Raw genomic sequence first — 17,697 nt, 5'->3', positions numbered from 1 at the left:
TGTTTGCCCTGTGACTTTATTGACCTTATGGTTCTAGCAAGAGTTGTTGATTTTTCAGTTTAGCTTTTTACATGTATTAACTATAGTTATATCCCTTTTCTAATTTGGTAAGCCAGTTCTAACTATAGTGGAATGGATTATAATTGTTAACAATAACTAAGTTAATACCTATCCATTATTATAAATATGTCTCATAAATAATAATTCTTATTAAAATAGTAAAACTATCGGATTTAATATCAAGATTACCATTTGTGACTAACCTTTGAGGGATTTCCACTAATGATGTCTATCATACTGCCTTGAGTTATGTATCAAAATCTTAGATTATCTTCTGGTCTAATTATTTGTTAATTTTTAGCTGTTGCTTATGTAATGACTATTGGTTCTTATTTAGTGGTGGTTTTCAGATGTTAGTATTTAATTGACATAGACAAGATAGGGGTCTTTTGCTTTGTCAGTACACTTGATGAGACAGGTGGAATTGGAGTTCCAAAGCCATACACGTGTTACTTTACTTCAGCGCCTTTTGGTTATTTGCATATGGTTTAAGTATACAGCTTTGTATAAACCCTACATATGCCTTTATTTACAAGAATAGAAACTTTAGTGATATTATTATTTTAAAAAGTGGACACCCCAAATTATTGTTTGTACATTTTGAGTCTAGCTGCTAATTCACAACAGATTATGGTGACATTTGGCACAAAGAAAAAGCCTGGATTCTTATTACATTAATTGGCCTAACAATTTAACTTTACCTGTCCTTTCTTATCTTTTTTTGATATGAAAGTTTGTAATTGACACTTCTCTTTTTGAAGTATCAGGTTTTTCTTTGGATAAAATTTTCCCTAACTTTAGTATATTATTTAAAATTATATACTGTGGTGGTAGATATTGGTGTTGTCTGTCAAATAGTTCTGGCACTCTCCCTTCTGGATATGTGGTGGAATTACACAGCTCCAAGCCTGCTTGACAGGCCCATGTGACTGTGTCCAGTGAATTGTGGGTGGAAATCATATGGGTCACTTCTGGACTGGAGCAAAACCCTCTGAGCTTTTTTCTTTTGTAGTTACTGTCAGTGTTTGAAATACTGACTGCTTCGATGGTTTAGTTGAAGAGATGGTGAAGCAAAGACACCTATATGTCTTTGATAAGCCATACATAATTTTCAAACTGAAGTTTAAAATGAAAAATTCAGCTTCTTATTGCCACGTAACAAATCATTTCAGAACACAGTGGCTTAAAAAGCAAACATATTTCATGATCTTGTGGGTTAGGAATTTAGGTCAGGCTTGGCTGGGCAGTTCTGCTCTGCTGGCATCCACCAGAGTCATTTATTGCTATTCAGGTGACACCTGGGCTGGTCTAGAGGGTCCAAGACAGTTTCATTGGTTCATTTTTGTTTTTAAGGCCTAAATAAAGTTAAATTTCAGAAGAAGATCAATATTGGTAGAAATAATTGTTATAAAGATGTATGTTGTAATTTGTTGGTTTATTTTAGTTTCTTTTATTAATTGCAAAAAATTCCATTAACATTTAAAAGTTATGTAGGAAAACTAAAGGAAATACTGATAACAACTAAATAAAACACCTAGAGAACAGTTGACTTCCAACAGTTACTATTTTTTTTCATTTATTAGCAGTCTATCCTGCTTAAACAATTACTATTTAAATTAATGCCCGCATATTTTTTGGCTTTTGACAAGTATTGGACTCTTAAGCTTTTTGAATTTGCATTAAAAAATCACATTAAATATTATAACAGTAATGTATATTTGTAGAAATTTATGGAACTGTGGGTAATTATAAAGAGAGTAAGTCACCTGTAAAAGTGTTAACTCTCAGAGAAAATTAGTGCTTTTTTTGTGTATTTACTTTTAGTTGCTTACATTGTTCTGTGAAAGCAGCAACTATATTCATATTATTAATCAGTGTCAATATTTTAAGTAGTTTAGTGAATAAAGATAGTGTTAATAAATAATTTGCTTTTTCTAATATAGTGCTAATGTTTTAGCTTTACAGTACAATTTTGATGACATTGGATACACTAGATTCAATGAGATATATCCAGAAAACATAACTGTCAGGAGGCAGACTTCTTTCAAAAGAAGGGAGGGACATGGTTACACAATTTCTTAGCTATGTTTTCTTCTGTAGTTTTAGTAGGAAGCAAGCATGAAAAGTATTGCCATTCTCTGGAGTTAAGGGAAGTCAGTTATTCTATTTAATAGCTGATTAGGCTGGGCATGGTGATGGTGGCTCATGCCTGTAATTCTAGCACTTTGGGAGGCTGAGGTGGGAGGATAACTGGAGCCCAGGAGTTCGAGACCAGCCTGGGCAACATAGTTAATCCCTGTCTCTACCAAAAAAAAAAAAAAAAAAATCCAGGCGTGATCGCATGTGCCTTGTAGTCCTGGCTAGTGGGGAAGCTGAGGTGGGAGGATACCTTCAGCCCAGGAGTTTGAGGTTCTGATGAGCTATGATTGTGCCACTGTACTCTAGCCTGGGTGACAGAGCATGAGCCCATCTCTTAAAAAAAAAAGTTGATTAAAGCATAGAGGGAGAAGGCATATTTTTTGGATAACTAGTCGATAATGAATGTCAGTGTTTACTTGCATAGTTAGTAAATATGAGTTCATTTTAAATATATTATTTTTCTCTGTGCTTTTTATAAATCTTTGTATCTATATATGAGATTTATCTGCTTGCTTTATATTATATAATATTAATTAAGCAACTATCGAACATCATTCAGGTTTTGTGGTAGCTCTGGTTTATAAAAACAGATACAGTGCCTGTTTTCATAGAGCATATAGTCAAATTGGGGCTGTGGTCTCCTGTGAATGGCACATACAGAACAGGGGTTCTTAACTTTTTCAGTGCCATAGTCCCCTTTGGTACTATGATGTAATCCATGGACTCTTTTTCAAATAATGTTTTTAAATGAATAAAATAAAAATACACCAAAATAGGATTACAAAGATAAACAATTGCATTGAAATAAAAATAAGCCAAACTTGTAATCTTATAACATCTTTTTAATTCACTTAAATTATAAAATCTAGCAGTGAATTTAATAACTACTGTAATTTTGAAGTAGTGATGAGGGTGAATGATATTTTGGGATATCTGCAACAACTGCATGTGATAAGAAAATATCCGTGATTTCTGTTGGTGACAAACACTTAGGTATCCACCAATACCACTGTGCTTGTTGCTTACATTCTTAATATTTTCTTAGAATTCTAAATTTTGGAAGTGAATAAAAATTAGAGGTTAGTAAAAATAAAGAAGTAATTTCTCCCTCTAAAATCCTATAACCCTTGAGTGAGTAAACTTTAAAAATCCATTGAAAAAGTAGGACGCTTTGAAAGAATATACTAATGTATTGATAAGGGAGTCCAAAATTGACCTCTAAAATATTTTTGACATAGCCTGTTATGCTATCAGTGTTGGTAAGTTTGTTCAGTATATTTGTAGGCTACACACAGTCCTTTCAAAGAAGTATTTAACCTTTGAGGGAAATACTTTTGTAATTGTTCAAAATCAAAATGCTTTATTTCTGTGAACTTGGCTGTGAGATAAATGTTCTGTCCACTTCATAATTTTATTCAGCAGTGCTTAAAAAAGAGTATTTTTAGTTATCTCATAGTGTTTATATTCAGTAAGTGATCCCTCAGTAACATGGTCCTAGTAAGACTGTTAACATTTCTCTTTAATATTGATGTATTTATAAAACTTACATGCTACACTTTGATGCTCTGCCAGGCGGTGGAAGTAGTGAAAAGAGCACATCAGGCTTTAGAGTTACACAACCCGATTTTGTATCCCAGCTTTGTTTCCTATTAGCTTTGTGATCTTGAGCTTGTAATTAACTTTCAGATTTTAGTTTCCTTATCTTTTGAATGAAGAAAATATGTTAGATGTTATTCTTTTTTTAAAAGAGAAAACTTGAGAGAGAACTATTAGGCACACTTTGATTTATCCTTTTAGTTTTAGCTGGGCTTCTAATACCTTTCTGAAGCCTTTCTGAGCTGTATTCCCCACCTCTTCCCCTTAACTCCCATCATGCCATGTGCTTACCAGCATCATCATTATTGTGTCCTATTTTTATTTTCAGTCTTTCATCTAGATCCATTAAACGTAGGGATCTTGACTATCTTTGTAATGACTACCATTTGAATAGAAATTATAGTATGTACTTGTTACTCAAAATTTTGTTTGGTAAATAACCATTCTAAATTAATGATATATTAACTCTGGAGCATAGATCGGAGGGGGCTAAATAAATGTCTTCTTTATTCTCATTAATTCTCATAATGCAATTTAATAATTCATGATGTGACATCAAGAGTTAGAAATTGAGTAGGTGAGGGCTGGGCACGGTGGCTCATGCCTGTAATCCCAGCACTTTGGGAGGCTGAGGCAAGCGGATCACGAGGTCAGGAGATCGTGACCATCCTGGCTAACACAGTGAAACCCCGTCTCTACTAAAAAAATACAAAAAATTAGCCAGGTGTGGTGCCGGGCGCCTGTAGTCCCAGCTACTTGGGAGGCTGAGGCAGGAGAATGGCGTGAACCTGGGAGGCAGAGCTTTCAGTGAGCTGAGATCGCGCCACTGCACTCCAGCCTGGGCGGCAGAGCGAGACTCTGTCTTTAAAAAAAAAAAAAAAAATCAAGTTGTATAAGTGAGGTGGACAAGTGAATCCATAGACTATAGTGTGTGAATGTAGATAGAGGTCATCAGAATAGCAGCTACATCACTACACTTAAGACGTTGAGCTAAGTGCTTTTCATGCGTTCTTTTTTTTTTATTTTTGGATCATAAAGACAGTTTTATACTAGGTGGTATTGTCTGTCTTAAATGACGAGCAAAGTAAAATTGAGATGAAGTTAAGTAACTTGCCAAAGGTCACATTGCTAGCAGATGGCAGAGCTAGAATGCAGACTCGGAACCATTGGATTCCAAGCCTTTGGTTTTAACTAACACAGCAGACACCTTTTGCTATTAAACTTTCTCATGTCTTAGAACCAATTTGTGTAGGATAAATTAGAGTCATTGGAGGTGGAAAAGTAAAGGTTTAAAAGAGGGTATGTTATGAACTTATTTAAGGGAAAGGGTTAGATCTAATTTATCTTTGCATCCCCAGAGATAATGCCTGGCACATAGCTGATGCTATTTAATGAAGTGCACATTGTCTTCAAGTTCTCTTAGGAATCTACTTACATGTGATTAGGTTCTCTTTTTTATTGTTGTTGTTGAGACAGGGACTTGCTCTGTCACCCAGGATGGAGTGCAGTGGTGTGATCTTGGTGCAGCTGCAACCTCTGCCTCCCAGGCTCAAGTGATTCTTCCACCTCAGCCTCCTGAATAGCTGGGTCTACTGGTGTGTGCCACCAAGGCCGGCTGAATTTTTTTTGCTTTTGCCATGTTGCCCAGGCTGGTCTTGAACTTCTGGGCTTAAGTGATCCTCCTGCTTCCCAAAGTGCTGGGATTACAGGCTTGAGCCACCACGCCAGGTCAATGATTAGGTTCCTTAGTATAGTTTACCACTGTACATGTGCCACCTAGTGGATGGAGATTATCCGTAGATAGTGGCTACAGATGAAATCGCCTTGCCTGTCCTTATCCCAGGGTTGCAGTTGTCCCCACCTTTCTGACTTTGGTGCATTTTGTGACCAAGTGTCATTGCCTGTATTTTAGGTCAGGTTCAAAGTAAGGGAAAAGATATATTAGGGATTTTATATTCAAGAAAAATACCACACTGAATTTTTAAAAATGCAATGTAATTTTTTAAATGTCTGCTCCAATTTCCACAGTTTGGCTTGCAGGCAGTTTGAGCTAATTGGACCTCATGAAAGGCAAAAACTCTGCAAAGTGGTGGAGTCGCCAAACCTGGACTGTTTTATTGGTTGAATGGCTAGCTTCTTTCTTTAGGCAAAGCATAGGATAGTATTCAAGAGTACATTTTTAATAATAAACTGGAGATAATTAAGTACTGGCATCAGGCATATTTCCTCAGATATCACTGGGTTTGTAGCCATTTCATCCAGAGCATCTCTGGATGACATCTCTGGTTGGATCCCTGGTTGACATCATTTTTATCCAGAGCAGTCTGTTTCACATTCTGCTGCCAAACTCTGACAATTGTTTGAAGACTAGGATTAGGAGAAGAGAGAGAGACATAAACACTCAGTTGTCCTGCCTTGACTTTGACAGATACTAAGATCTAACATAGTCTACCAAATGAAGAGTGACAGTTAAAGACAGCTTCTGTTATTACCTGAAGTATCAAATATTTAGTGATACCTTTTTTGTTGTTTGTTCCTATTTTGTGGCAGGAATTACTGCTATCTAGGAAGCAGTCATAGAGTCCTCTTTATTTGTTAAAGAACACAAGACTGAAACAACAAAATCTAAACCAAAAGTAAAACCAAAACTATCGCTCCCTACTGTTTCTTTAGCAGATCCAAGTTAGAATCATGGGCAGAGCCAGTAATAATAATAGCTAGAGGAGAAAAGAGAACAGGATGAACTCTGAAAGCCTGTCTTCTTACCTGCTTTATGGGATCAGATCTGGTGCCGATCCTATTTCTTAAAAAACAAAAAAAAAACAAAAAAACCCTATAGTCTGAATCTGTTTTTTTCTCTTTGAAATGCAGGAAACATAATTTCAAAAGGTTGTATACCTGCAAACCTACTGGCCAACCAGTAACATTAACGTTTAACTTTTCTATTTCCTTCTGGCTCTTATTTGAGGGAGAGATAGACATTGTCCTGCTTCTTTTCCCTTAGCTGTAAGCAATAAAACTCCCCTAAAAATAATAAAAGTGCTATGTATTTTCTTTTTTGGGGATAAAAATAAGGAAAAAGCTGAAACTGTTATATACTTCGCTAGGAGAAGGAAATTTTTGACTGGAGGTCATATATGGTAGATAGCAGCATAGTAAAAGGAAGCAGACAAGTCATACTGGATTGGAGAGAGCACAGCTTGGGAGTGGAGACAAATGGATCTGGCTCCAGGAAAAAATGTGTTTTCAGGGTAATGTAATGATTTGCGACCCTGGGCCATTTGGCTCATTGTTGGTAAGTTTCTGAAGGCACTATTCTTATTCCTCCTTAAGTTTGTCACTTATTTTTCTCTTCCCCTTTCTTGTTACCCAGTAGTAAGAATGGTATAAAATGGGTATATCCCAAAATGTATTCTGGGACTCTCTGAGTAGAAATGAAATGCTTTCATACAGGTATTTATATATGTGATAATTTTATAGTACTTTGAATATAATAGGCAGGCAGAGAGAGTCTCTCTAGCAGAACTGTATTCTTTTCTATCTTTGGCTGTAAAAATACTAGAGAGAGGCAACACAGAATACCCTTTGGGTCATTCCAGATGCTTTGCCTAGAGCTACAGGCTCTGTAGGTACAGTCTACATTCCAAATTGTTGTAGGTCATAGCTATATTAAATATTTTAATATAGCCTAAAAAGGGTCAGTTGATTTTCAGACTCCATTATCAGTGTTTCACGGCCTGATCAAGCCACTTGAAGATTTTGTTACGGCAATTCTTCACTCTTTAATACCAGTTTTCTGTGTTAATTAGGGCATGGGTTAAACTGCTGTAACAGAGACCCCAAAATATAGCAGTGGCTTAAATAAAACAAATTGATCTTCTCTCATGTAATATTTCTGAGGATGGAGAGGTATAGGCTGATGAGTTGTCTTTTGCTCCATATTATTGTTTGTTGACCCAGGTTTCTTCTGTCTTGTCTCTCTGCCATCACCTGGAGCATTGCGCCTCATTGGCAGCATTGCGACTGGGTTGCTGTCATGTCCATTCCAGTCTGTAGGAAAGGGGACTATAATTTAGTGAAGAGCAGCTCACTTCCTTTTAGATGATGAGGTTGCGCAGTTGCTTCTGGTCATATTCTCTCGGTGAGAACTTGCCATGGTTTGCTGCAAAGAGGGTTGGGGAATAAAGTCTCTAGCTGAGCAGTTATGTGTCCTACTAAAACTTGGAAAGCATAGAAGATGAAGAGTATGGATTTTGTCCTTTGTCTACTTTCTTTCTTTCTTTTTTTGAGACGGAGTTTTGCTCTTGTTGCCCAGGCTTGAGTGCAATGGCATGATCTCGGCTCACCGCAACCTCCGCCTCCCAAGTTCAAGCAATTCTCCTGCCTCAGCCTTCTGAATAGCTGGGATTACAGGCACGCACCACCTCGCCCGGCTAATTCTGTATTTTTAGTAGAGATGGGGTTTCTCCATGTTGAGGCTGGTCTCGAACTCCTGACCTCAGGTGATCTGCCTGCCTTGGCCTCCCAAAGTGCTGGGATTACAGGCGTGAGCCACCGCACCCGGCCCCTTTGTCTACGTTCTACAGGTTTATGTGCCTTGTTCATCTTTGGAGTTATTTAGCTATTCTTGATCTGAATACCTTTTTTTTTGGGGGGGGATTCAAATTGTATTTATTTTCTCTCATCTGTGACACATTCATTTTGTTCATGAGGTCATTTGTCACATAGAAATGTAAATTTTCATTTTATTATTCCTTTTGAATACAAGCTTACGTATTTGTAGATTTGATTCTAGATACTTTATCAATTTTGTCTCGGGATAGACAGGACACCTTGATTGATAGACTGTATAAACACTTAATTTAAGGTCAGCTTTTCTATTTCAATTTTTTAAAAAAGAAAAGAAACATGTTATTTTAAGTATGAAAACCAAAACCATCTGTTTGATGCTTCATGTTATCATTAGTTTTATGATTTGATAGGATTTACAATTATTTGTAGTTTTTTCTAACTACCCAAGAATAGTTATACAAATTGTTTTTCAAAATACTTTTCTAAAATTCATTTTGAATGTAGAAGATAGTTTTCTTTTTTTAAAGAGGGAAGTCAGATTGAAGTGCTAATCTGAGCGATAAGAGATAAAGTTTTGTGTGAAATTTAGTGTTCAAGCTGCTAAGTATGTCTAGTGTATAGTTAAAATATGGTGTGGAACTCAGGAGAGGAGTTAGTGCTAGAGATGTTGACTTACAAATCATAAAGTCCAGAGGAAATTGTTGAAATGTGGATAATAAGTTCTTCAAAGAGGAGCTTATAGGCTGGGAGTAGTGACTCATGCCTGTATTCTTGGCACTTTGGGAGGCCAAGGCAGGAGGATGATTTGAGGCCAGGAGTTTGAGACTAGCCTGGGCAACATAGTGAGACCCCCATCTCTACAAAAAAATGAAAAAGAATGTGGTGACATGTGCCTGTGGTCCCAGCTGCTTGGGAGGCTGAGGTGGGAGGATTCTTGAGCCCAAGAATGCGAATGATCATACTACTGCACTCCAGCATGGGCGACAGAGTGAGTCCTTTTCTCAAAAACAAAAACAACCACCCAACCCCAGGAGTATATAAAGGATGTATAGAGGGCTGTACCTATATTTAGAGGTCTAAAGGAAATCAGCTGAAGAGATAGATATTAGACTATTATATCTCTGTGCTTATAAAAGATAGAAGATCATTTCACTAAGGAGGAAGTGATCCTGGTGTGAAGTGAACTTTTAGGATGTTTGAAGAAAGCTTGTGGGTGCTAACTGGATTGTTAATTCTTTTGCCGTTGGTCTATTGGTGGTGTTGACGAGAATAATTTGTGTGTGTGTGTGTGTGTGTGTGTGTGTGTGTGTGTGTGTTTTGAGACGCAGTTTCATTCCTGTTGCCCAGGCTGGAGTGCAATGGCATGATCTCGGCTCACTGCAACTTCCATCTCCCAGGTTTAAGCAATTCTCCTGCCTCAGCCTCCCGAGTAGCTGGGATTACAGGCATGTGCCACCAAGCCCGGCTAATTTTATATTTTTAGTAGAGACAGGGTTTCACCATGTTGTTGGTCAGGCTGGTCTCGAACTCTGGACCTCAGGTTATCCGCCCACCTTGGCCTCCCAAAGTGCTGGGATTACAGGTGTGCATCACCATACCCAGCTGAGAATAATTGTTATAATAGGAGGCTGGATACAATTAGAAAGGTATAGTTGAAGGGGAAGGTAGTAGAGTTCAGTCATGCCATCTCATGAATTTGGTGGTAAAAGGAAAGACAGAGAAGAGGCGCTTGAAAGGACTTTAAGATGTTTTTGTTTGTTTGGGGTTAGTGATGCAGAAAGGTCTAAATAAATTTCAAATTAGAAAAGAAGGAGCCAGCCAAGAGCATGGAACTGCATCATGAGCACTGGTGGGGAGGTGTAATGTCCCTTCATTGTAGTAATAGAGCATGACAGACAGAGTGGACATATAATTTTTATTAAACAAGAAGAATGATGTTAGGGGTAGTGGTGTGTGGAAATCCTCTCAGCTGTTAGGCTGCCTCCTGAGAAAGAACATTTAAGGTGTTTGGGGTTGGATTCAAGGAGAATGGAAAAAGGCAATAAAGTGAAGGTTTGTCCTTTTCAAATATTAAGCTTTTAGAATGGGTAATAATTAAGATACATGATGAGTCTTTTAATGATGATTTTATAAAGTGTGAAGCAATTTTTAATGAGTCACTTTGAAATACATTTGTTCTGTAGACCAATTGCTATAATCCTGAAATAAGATTTTTTTTTGGCCGGGCACAGTGGCTCATGCCTGTAATTCCAGCATTTTGGGAGGCCGAGGCAGGTGGATCACCTGAGGTCAGGAGTTCAAGACCGGCCTGGCCAACGTGGTGAAACCCAGTCTCTACTAAAAATACAAAAATTAGCCAGGCATGGTGGTGGGCGCCTGTCATCCCAGCTATTCAGGAGGCTGAGGCAGGAGAATTGCTTGAACCCGGGAGGCAGAGGTGGCAGTGAGTCGAGATCGCGCCATTGCATTCCAGCCTGGGTGGACAGAGCGAGACTCCATCAAAAAAAAAAAAAAAAAAAAAAAAATCTTTTTGTTGTTGTTGTTGTTGTTGTTGTTGTTGAGGTAGGATCTAGATGTGTTGCTTAGGCTGGAGTCCAGTGGTGCCATCACAGCTCACTGTAGCCTCCGCTGCCGGGGCTTGATTGATTCTCCCACCTCAGCCACCAGAGTCGCTAGGACTACAGGTGTGTGCCACTATGCTTAGCTAATTTTTTGTAGAGATGGGGTGTTACCATGTTTCCCAGGCTGTCTTGAACTACTGGGCTCAAGCAATATGCCTGCCTCAGCCTCCCAAGGTGCTGGGATTACATGTGTGAGCCACTACACCTGGCCAAAAATAAGATTCTTTTTTTTTTTTTGAGACAGGGTCTGGCTTTGTCACCTAGGCCTGAGTACAGTGGCACGATCCCAGCTCACTGCAGCCTCTGGCTCCCAGGTTCAAGGCATATCCTTCCATCTCAGCCTCCTGAGTAGCTGACATTATAAGCACTCACCACCTTGCCTGGCTAATTTTTACATTTTTTGTTGAGATGAGGTTTCACCATCTTGCCCAGGCCAGTCTGAAACTCCTGAGCTCAAGGGATTTGCTTGCCTTGGCCTCTCAAAGTGCAGGGATTACAGGCATGAGCCACCATGCCTGGCCAAGATTCTTAACATTTATTACTAGGATGAAACTTCTCTGAGTCAGCTATAATTTGGGCACAAGGAAAAGTATACCATGCTTCACATTATTTTGATAATCATTTTGCGGTAGAGAATAAAGATGCACAATACCACTAATTACGTGCATGAACTTTTCTTGTGTTAGTGAAATATTGTTATTTGTTGTTTCTTTTTACATTATGACCTATGCTTTATAGATACATTCACCAGTGATTAAAATAAACACAAAAATGACTCTTTGTTTTCTCTTGTTTACTGTTAAGCAGAAATCAAAGAACAATCTGCAGAAGAGGATGCTGAAGCAGAAGTGGATAACAGCAAACAGCTAATTCCAACTCTTCAGCGATCTGTGTCTGAGGAATCGGCAAACTCCCTGGTCTCTGTTGGTGTAGAAGCCAAAATCAGGTTAGAGAATGAATGCAGCTGGATTGGATATTAGTGACAGGAATAAAGCAGTGAAATGACTATAGAGAAAATTCAAGGAGTATGAGTTTAGGATGAAAATCTGGGTGGGATTTTATGATTTAGTAGCTAAATTTGAAGCTGATACCTCTGTGTTTAGTTGGGATGAGTTACATCTGTGGGCTTAGGCAATTGTAGAGCAGGGCAGCACACTACGGTTTTACTCTAGTCACCTCAGGCCAGTACAGAATATTACCAATGTGCTGTTCCTGGCAGAAGACATAAATGTGAGCATTTAGCATGAGGATTAATTTTTGATACTTACCTGTAAACTTAAGTTGATAGTTTTGTTCCTTACCTTCTCCCCATTCATTAAAAAAGGAAACACAGGACATTATAACCTATTTTTTTTCTTTCTTTTTCTCCCCCCCCCCACCACCCCTCCCCCCCTCCCTTTTTTTGAGATGGCGTCTTGCTCTGTCACCAAGCTGGAGTGCAGTGGTGCCATCTCAGCTCACTGCAACCTCCAATTCCCTGGTTCAAGAGAGTCTTCTGCCTCAGGCTCCTGAGTAGCTAGGATTATAGGCATGCACCACCATGCCCAGCTAATTTTTGTGTTTTTAGTAGAGACAGGGTTTCACCATGTTGGCCAGGATGGTCTCGATCTCCTGATCTCATGATCCACCTGCCTCGGCTTCCCAAAGTGCTGGGATTACAGGCATGAGCCACTACACTGGGCCTGTAATATATCATTGTATAATTCAGCTTTGAAGTTTTAAGAGTTTTTAGACCTTATTTGAAAGACATGAATAAAATAATGAAATTATCCATCAGTTTGGTACTCCCATCTCCTTCCTTCCCTCCCTCCTTACCTGTCTCCCTCCCTTCTTTCCCTCCTTCCTTCCCGCCCTCCTTCCCTCCCTTTCTCCCTCCTTCCCCTCCATCCCTTCTCCCTCCTTCCTCCCTTCGTTTCCCTTCTACTTCCTTTTCCTCTTCCCTTTTCTTCCTTTCCTTTCTTTTTTTTTTTATTTTTTGAGGCAAGGTCTTACTCTGTTGCCCAGGGTAGAGTGCAGTAGTGTGATCACAGCTCACTGCAGGCTCAACCTCCCAGGCTCAGGTGATCCTCCCACCTTAGCCTCCCAGGTGGCTGGGACTACAGGTGTGTGCCACCATACTTGGCTAATTTTTAAGCTTTTTTTTTGGTAGAGACTGGGTCTCTTTATGTTATCCAGGTTGGTCTGGAACTCCTGGGCTAAAGCAATCCTCCTGTCTCAGCCTCCCTAAGTGGTGGAAGTGCAAGCATGAACCACTGCACCTGACCTCTCTCATCTTCTTGAACCATTTTCTTTCTTTTGCTTTTGGGACATCTCACTCCTCATTTTATCTTTTGCTAGTTGCTGTGGAGACTCTACATGTTTATAATTTTGGAGTTCTTAAGGATAAGTCCTCAGATATCTTGTCTACTTTTTGTCTCTGTTCACTCCCTGGGAAAGAAAGCTCATTCATTCTAATGGCTGTAACCTCTGTGTGTGCCCTTAAGAGTCTCACGTGTTCATTTCCGTTACTCTTCTTTACCTGAACTCCAGACTTTTATGTCCAACTGTCTGCTTGACGTCTCTATTTGGAAGTGTATTAGACACCTCACCCTTAACATGTCCAGTACCATGCTTGATTCTGCCTCCACCTCTGCCCCAAATCTGCTTCTCCCTACGATTTCCTCATTTCAATAAATAATGCCAGTATTCACTCAGTTGTTTAGTCCAGAAACTTTGAAAGTTAATCCTTGATTTCTATCTTTTCTCATACCTTGTAGCTCAACTCGATAACCCAAACAACTTGTTAGTGTCTTAACTTGCCTAACATTTTAGTTGAAGTCACTGTTATCCTTTGGAAGTTGTAGTAGCCTTTTAACCAGTCTTTCTGCTTCTCTTTACCTTTCCATAGTCCAATTTGTTTATAGCACAGTTGCAAAAATTATTCTAATAATGATAATCAGGTCCCCACTCTCCACTCTCTTTCATGACTATTATATTTAAATTATATTCATAATTTCAAGTACTTACCATGTCTACAAGGTGTGATCTGTTCCTGACTGCCTCTCTCATGTCATTTGTCACTCACTGTGCTCTCACCACATTGGCCTCACTCTTTTAAATGTGCTGATGGGGTTTCTGTCTGAGAGCTTTGGTGCTTGCTCTGCTTGTCTCCTGGCTTACCTCCCAGAGAGGCTACCTTGCTGATAATACTAGCCTCCTCTGAAGGGCCACATCCAGCTTAGTCTCAGTCAGCTTAGGAAAAAGAACATACAATGTGAATCAACGAAAGAACACACTGGTGTTTGTTATACTGTAGTCCTCTCCTCCTCCTCCAATATTTTTTGGGAGGTTTGAACATTTTCAAAATAAAGGAGTAGGATGGAAAAGAAAACAGCAGCTCCCACCATATTTTACATAGTAACCTGCTTTATTTTTCTTTGTGGCACTTATTATTTTCCAACAGTTCATTTGACTGTCATGTGAACTCTGAAGACACGCACTTTGTTGGTGGGCTTTGTTCACCACACTGTGTCCTGCACTTAATAGTTCCTGACGGAGATTAGGTGCTGTATAAATTTTTTTTTCTTTTTTCTTTTTTTTTTTTTTTTTTGAGGCGGAGTCTCGCTCTGTTGCCCAGGCTGGAATGCAGTGGCGCGATCTTGGCTCACTGCAAGCTCCACCTCCTGGGTTCACGCCATTCTTCTGCCTCAGCCTCCTGAGTAGCTGGGACTACAGGTGCCCGCCACCACGCCCGGCTAATTTTTTGTATTTTTAGTAGAGACGGGGTTTCAATGTGTTAGCCAGGATGGCCTTGATCTCCTGACCTCGTGATCCACCCGCCTTGGCCTCCCAAAGTGTTGGGAGTACAGGCGTGAGTCACCGCGCCCGGCCCAATATATTTTTAATGAATAATGAATTCTAGTTGATTGAAAAGCATTTAAAGTTCTGCTTAAATTTTTGTAGTTTGATACTACCATGAACTTTACTTTTTGCTATGTGTTATATAGAGATTAGAAATGGTGTAATGCATATGTGGTATTGAGAGGTACAGAATGCAGAATATTTGCTAGTTTAGAGCAGGTGCCTGAGAGCCTTCTGAAAGTATTCTGTGCCTCTGTATCCTCTAGGCCTACTTCGGGAACCCATTGTAGTTCTTAACCTTCTTGCTTGGTTCTTCTGCAGATCTTAAGGACACAGTATGCCTGACTGACTTATCTTTTTGTCACCTGTGAGTAGCACACTGTCACTGTTAGTCCTCATCTAATACTTGTACAGAGAATGAAAGTTAAAAGCTACTCATGAATATATGATAATTTCATTTATAATAATCATGGCCTATCAGTGGAAAAGAATAGGTCACTCAATAATTGGCTATCCATGTAAAAAATATAGGTAGATTGATGCTCATGCCACATGGAAAAATAACCTTGAGGTAGATTAATAAGCAATGCCATTGTTATTTATTTATCCTGGGCTATACTACCACTACCACTGTTATTTTCATTAGACAGGACAGAGTGAATGTACACTGAGAAAGCCAGCATACTGTAAATACAGACTTGGTGTTTATTCCAAGCTCCGACTTTTTGACCTTTATTTATTCATTTTTATCTCTCTGTCCCACAGTTTCCTTAAAATAGGATGAACAGATTGAATTTAATGAATTTTATTTTATTTTATTTTTTTTGAGACAGAGTCTTGCTCTGTCGCCCAGGCTGGAGTGCAGTGGCACGATCTCAGCTCACTGCAGGCTCCGCCTCCCGGGTTCGCGCGATTCTCCTGCCTCAGCCTCCCAAGTAGCTGGGACCACAGGCGCCTGCCACCACACCCGGCTAATTTTTTTGTATTTTTAGTAGAGACAGGGTTTCACCATGTTAGCCAGGATGGTCTCGATCTCCTGACCTCGTGATCTGCACATCTCGGCCTCCCAAAGTGCTGGGATTACAGGCGTGAGCCACCGTCCCCGGCCTGAATTTAATGAATTTTAATGGTGCAGTATATAAAATGTTCTAAATGAATATGTATAATTAATAGGATTTTAGCAAGATTACTAGATAACAAAATCAAAATGCAAAAATCACATGTATTTTTATATATTAGGAACAGAGTTAAATGGTATTTTTTAGAATATTTTCCAATAATATAAAATAATATGTGACTAGGATTATGTGCAAAAATGTAAGACTTTTATAGAGAAAATTATAAAACTTTTTGGAAAGATTAAGGATCACAGACATAATAGCAGTATAATACTCACATTTTAGGGGATTCAGTATTTTAAAGATATTCTTTCCCAATTGATGTGTAGGTTCAAGAAAATTCTAATAAAAATTTCTACAGTAAATTTTACAAGCTGATCTTAATTTATATGAATATGCAAAAGACAGGATAAGCCAAAGGACCCATGAAGAAGAGGAAGGATTGCTTTACTTGATACTAAGACTTTTTGTAACACACTAATAAATTAAGTCAGTGCTGTATTACCACAGAAACAGACAAATAGACCAATGGATCAGAATAGGGAACCCAGATACAGATACATGATTAATATGGACAGGTTATTTATAACAAAGGGGCATCACAAATTAGTGAGGAAGGAAGTCTCTTTCAACAATTGTGCTAGAACAATTAGACATACTTTAAAAAAAAAAAAAAAGAAAGACCTAATTTATTCATGTCTACTCCAGTTAATTTATAGACTTAACACGTGAGAAGCAAATTAATAAAAGAAGTTAATGTAGAGGAATTTCTTCATTGCTTTGGGGTAAGGAAAGACTTTTAAAAAACAAATGGAAAGCCCTAATTATAGAAAAGGGTTGATTGGCCAGGCACAGTGGCTCATGCCTATAATCCTAGCACTTTGGGAGGTTGAGGCAGGAGGATTGCTTGAGCCCAGGAGTTCGAGACCAGCCTGACTTGAACATGACAAAGCCCTGTCTCTACAAAAAATACAAAAATTAGTAGGACTTGGTGGTGCTACTCAGGAGGCTGAGGTGGGAGGATCGCTTGAGCCCAGGAGGTCGAGGCTGTAGTGAGCTGTGATCCTGCCACTGCACTCCAGCCTGGGTGACATAGTGAGACCCTGTCTCAAAAAAAAAAAACACACATAAAAAGAAAAGGGGCCGGGTGCGGTGGCTCATGCCTGTAATCCCAGCCCTTTGGGAGGCTAAGGTGGGTGGATCCCTGAGGTCAGGAGTTTGGGACCAGCCTGGCCAACATGGTGAAACCCCATCTCTACTAAAAATACAAAAATTAGCTGGGCGTGGTGGTGGGCACCTGTAGTCCCAGCTACTTGGGAGGCTGAGGCAAAATTGCTTGAACCTGGGAGGTGGACGTTGCAGTGAGCCAAGATCGCACCATTGCACTCCAGCCTGGGCGACAAGAGAGAAACTGCATCTCAAAAAAAGAAAAGAAAAGGATTGATTAATACCACTATACTTAAATTTACAACTTTTCATGAAAAATACCAAGAGTAAAAAGATAAATGACAGAAAAGGGAAAAATATTTCTAAAGCATATAACTAACAAAGAACTTATGTTCATATGTATTTAAAAATGAAGCAAAACAATGCAATAAGAAGAAGCTTCTGTAGAAGGCAGTAAGCATTACTTGATTACTTGCAATAAACATTACTCGATTACTTTCAATAAACATTACTTGATTATGACATTTTTTAAACATGCTGTTGGGTTTTAGTTAGCTAATATTTTGTTTATGTTCATAAGCAAT

At 38.9% G+C, this 17,697-nt stretch overlaps 1 protein-coding gene across 1 annotated transcript in view, besides 1 other annotated feature; it reads left to right on the top strand.

Annotated features, from left to right (window-relative positions):
- Nucleotides 1-17,697, top strand: part of KMT2C (lysine methyltransferase 2C) — a 301,079-nt gene that overhangs the window by 93,469 nt on the left and 189,913 nt on the right. The window contains exon 3 of the mRNA NM_170606.3: nucleotides 11,796-11,934. Coding sequence (NP_733751.2) covers nucleotides 11,796-11,934 — 139 coding nt within the window. The remainder of the gene's footprint in view (nucleotides 1-11,795; nucleotides 11,935-17,697) is intronic.
- Nucleotides 5,307-5,546: an enhancer, noted in NCBI's record as "active region_26877". NCBI's record gives its function as "activates an Ori minimal core promoter by ATAC-STARR-seq in GM12878 lymphoblastoid cells {active_cell/tissue: GM12878}" and the evidence as "EXISTENCE:reporter gene assay evidence [ECO:0000049][PMID:35858748]".

The sequence above is a fragment of the Homo sapiens genome, chromosome 7, assembly GCF_000001405.40.
Source record: "Homo sapiens chromosome 7, GRCh38.p14 Primary Assembly".
Lineage (NCBI taxonomy): Eukaryota > Metazoa > Chordata > Mammalia > Primates > Hominidae > Homo > Homo sapiens.
The sequence above is the reverse complement of the archived record's forward strand: the minus strand, read 5'-3'. Positions and strand labels throughout refer to the sequence as shown.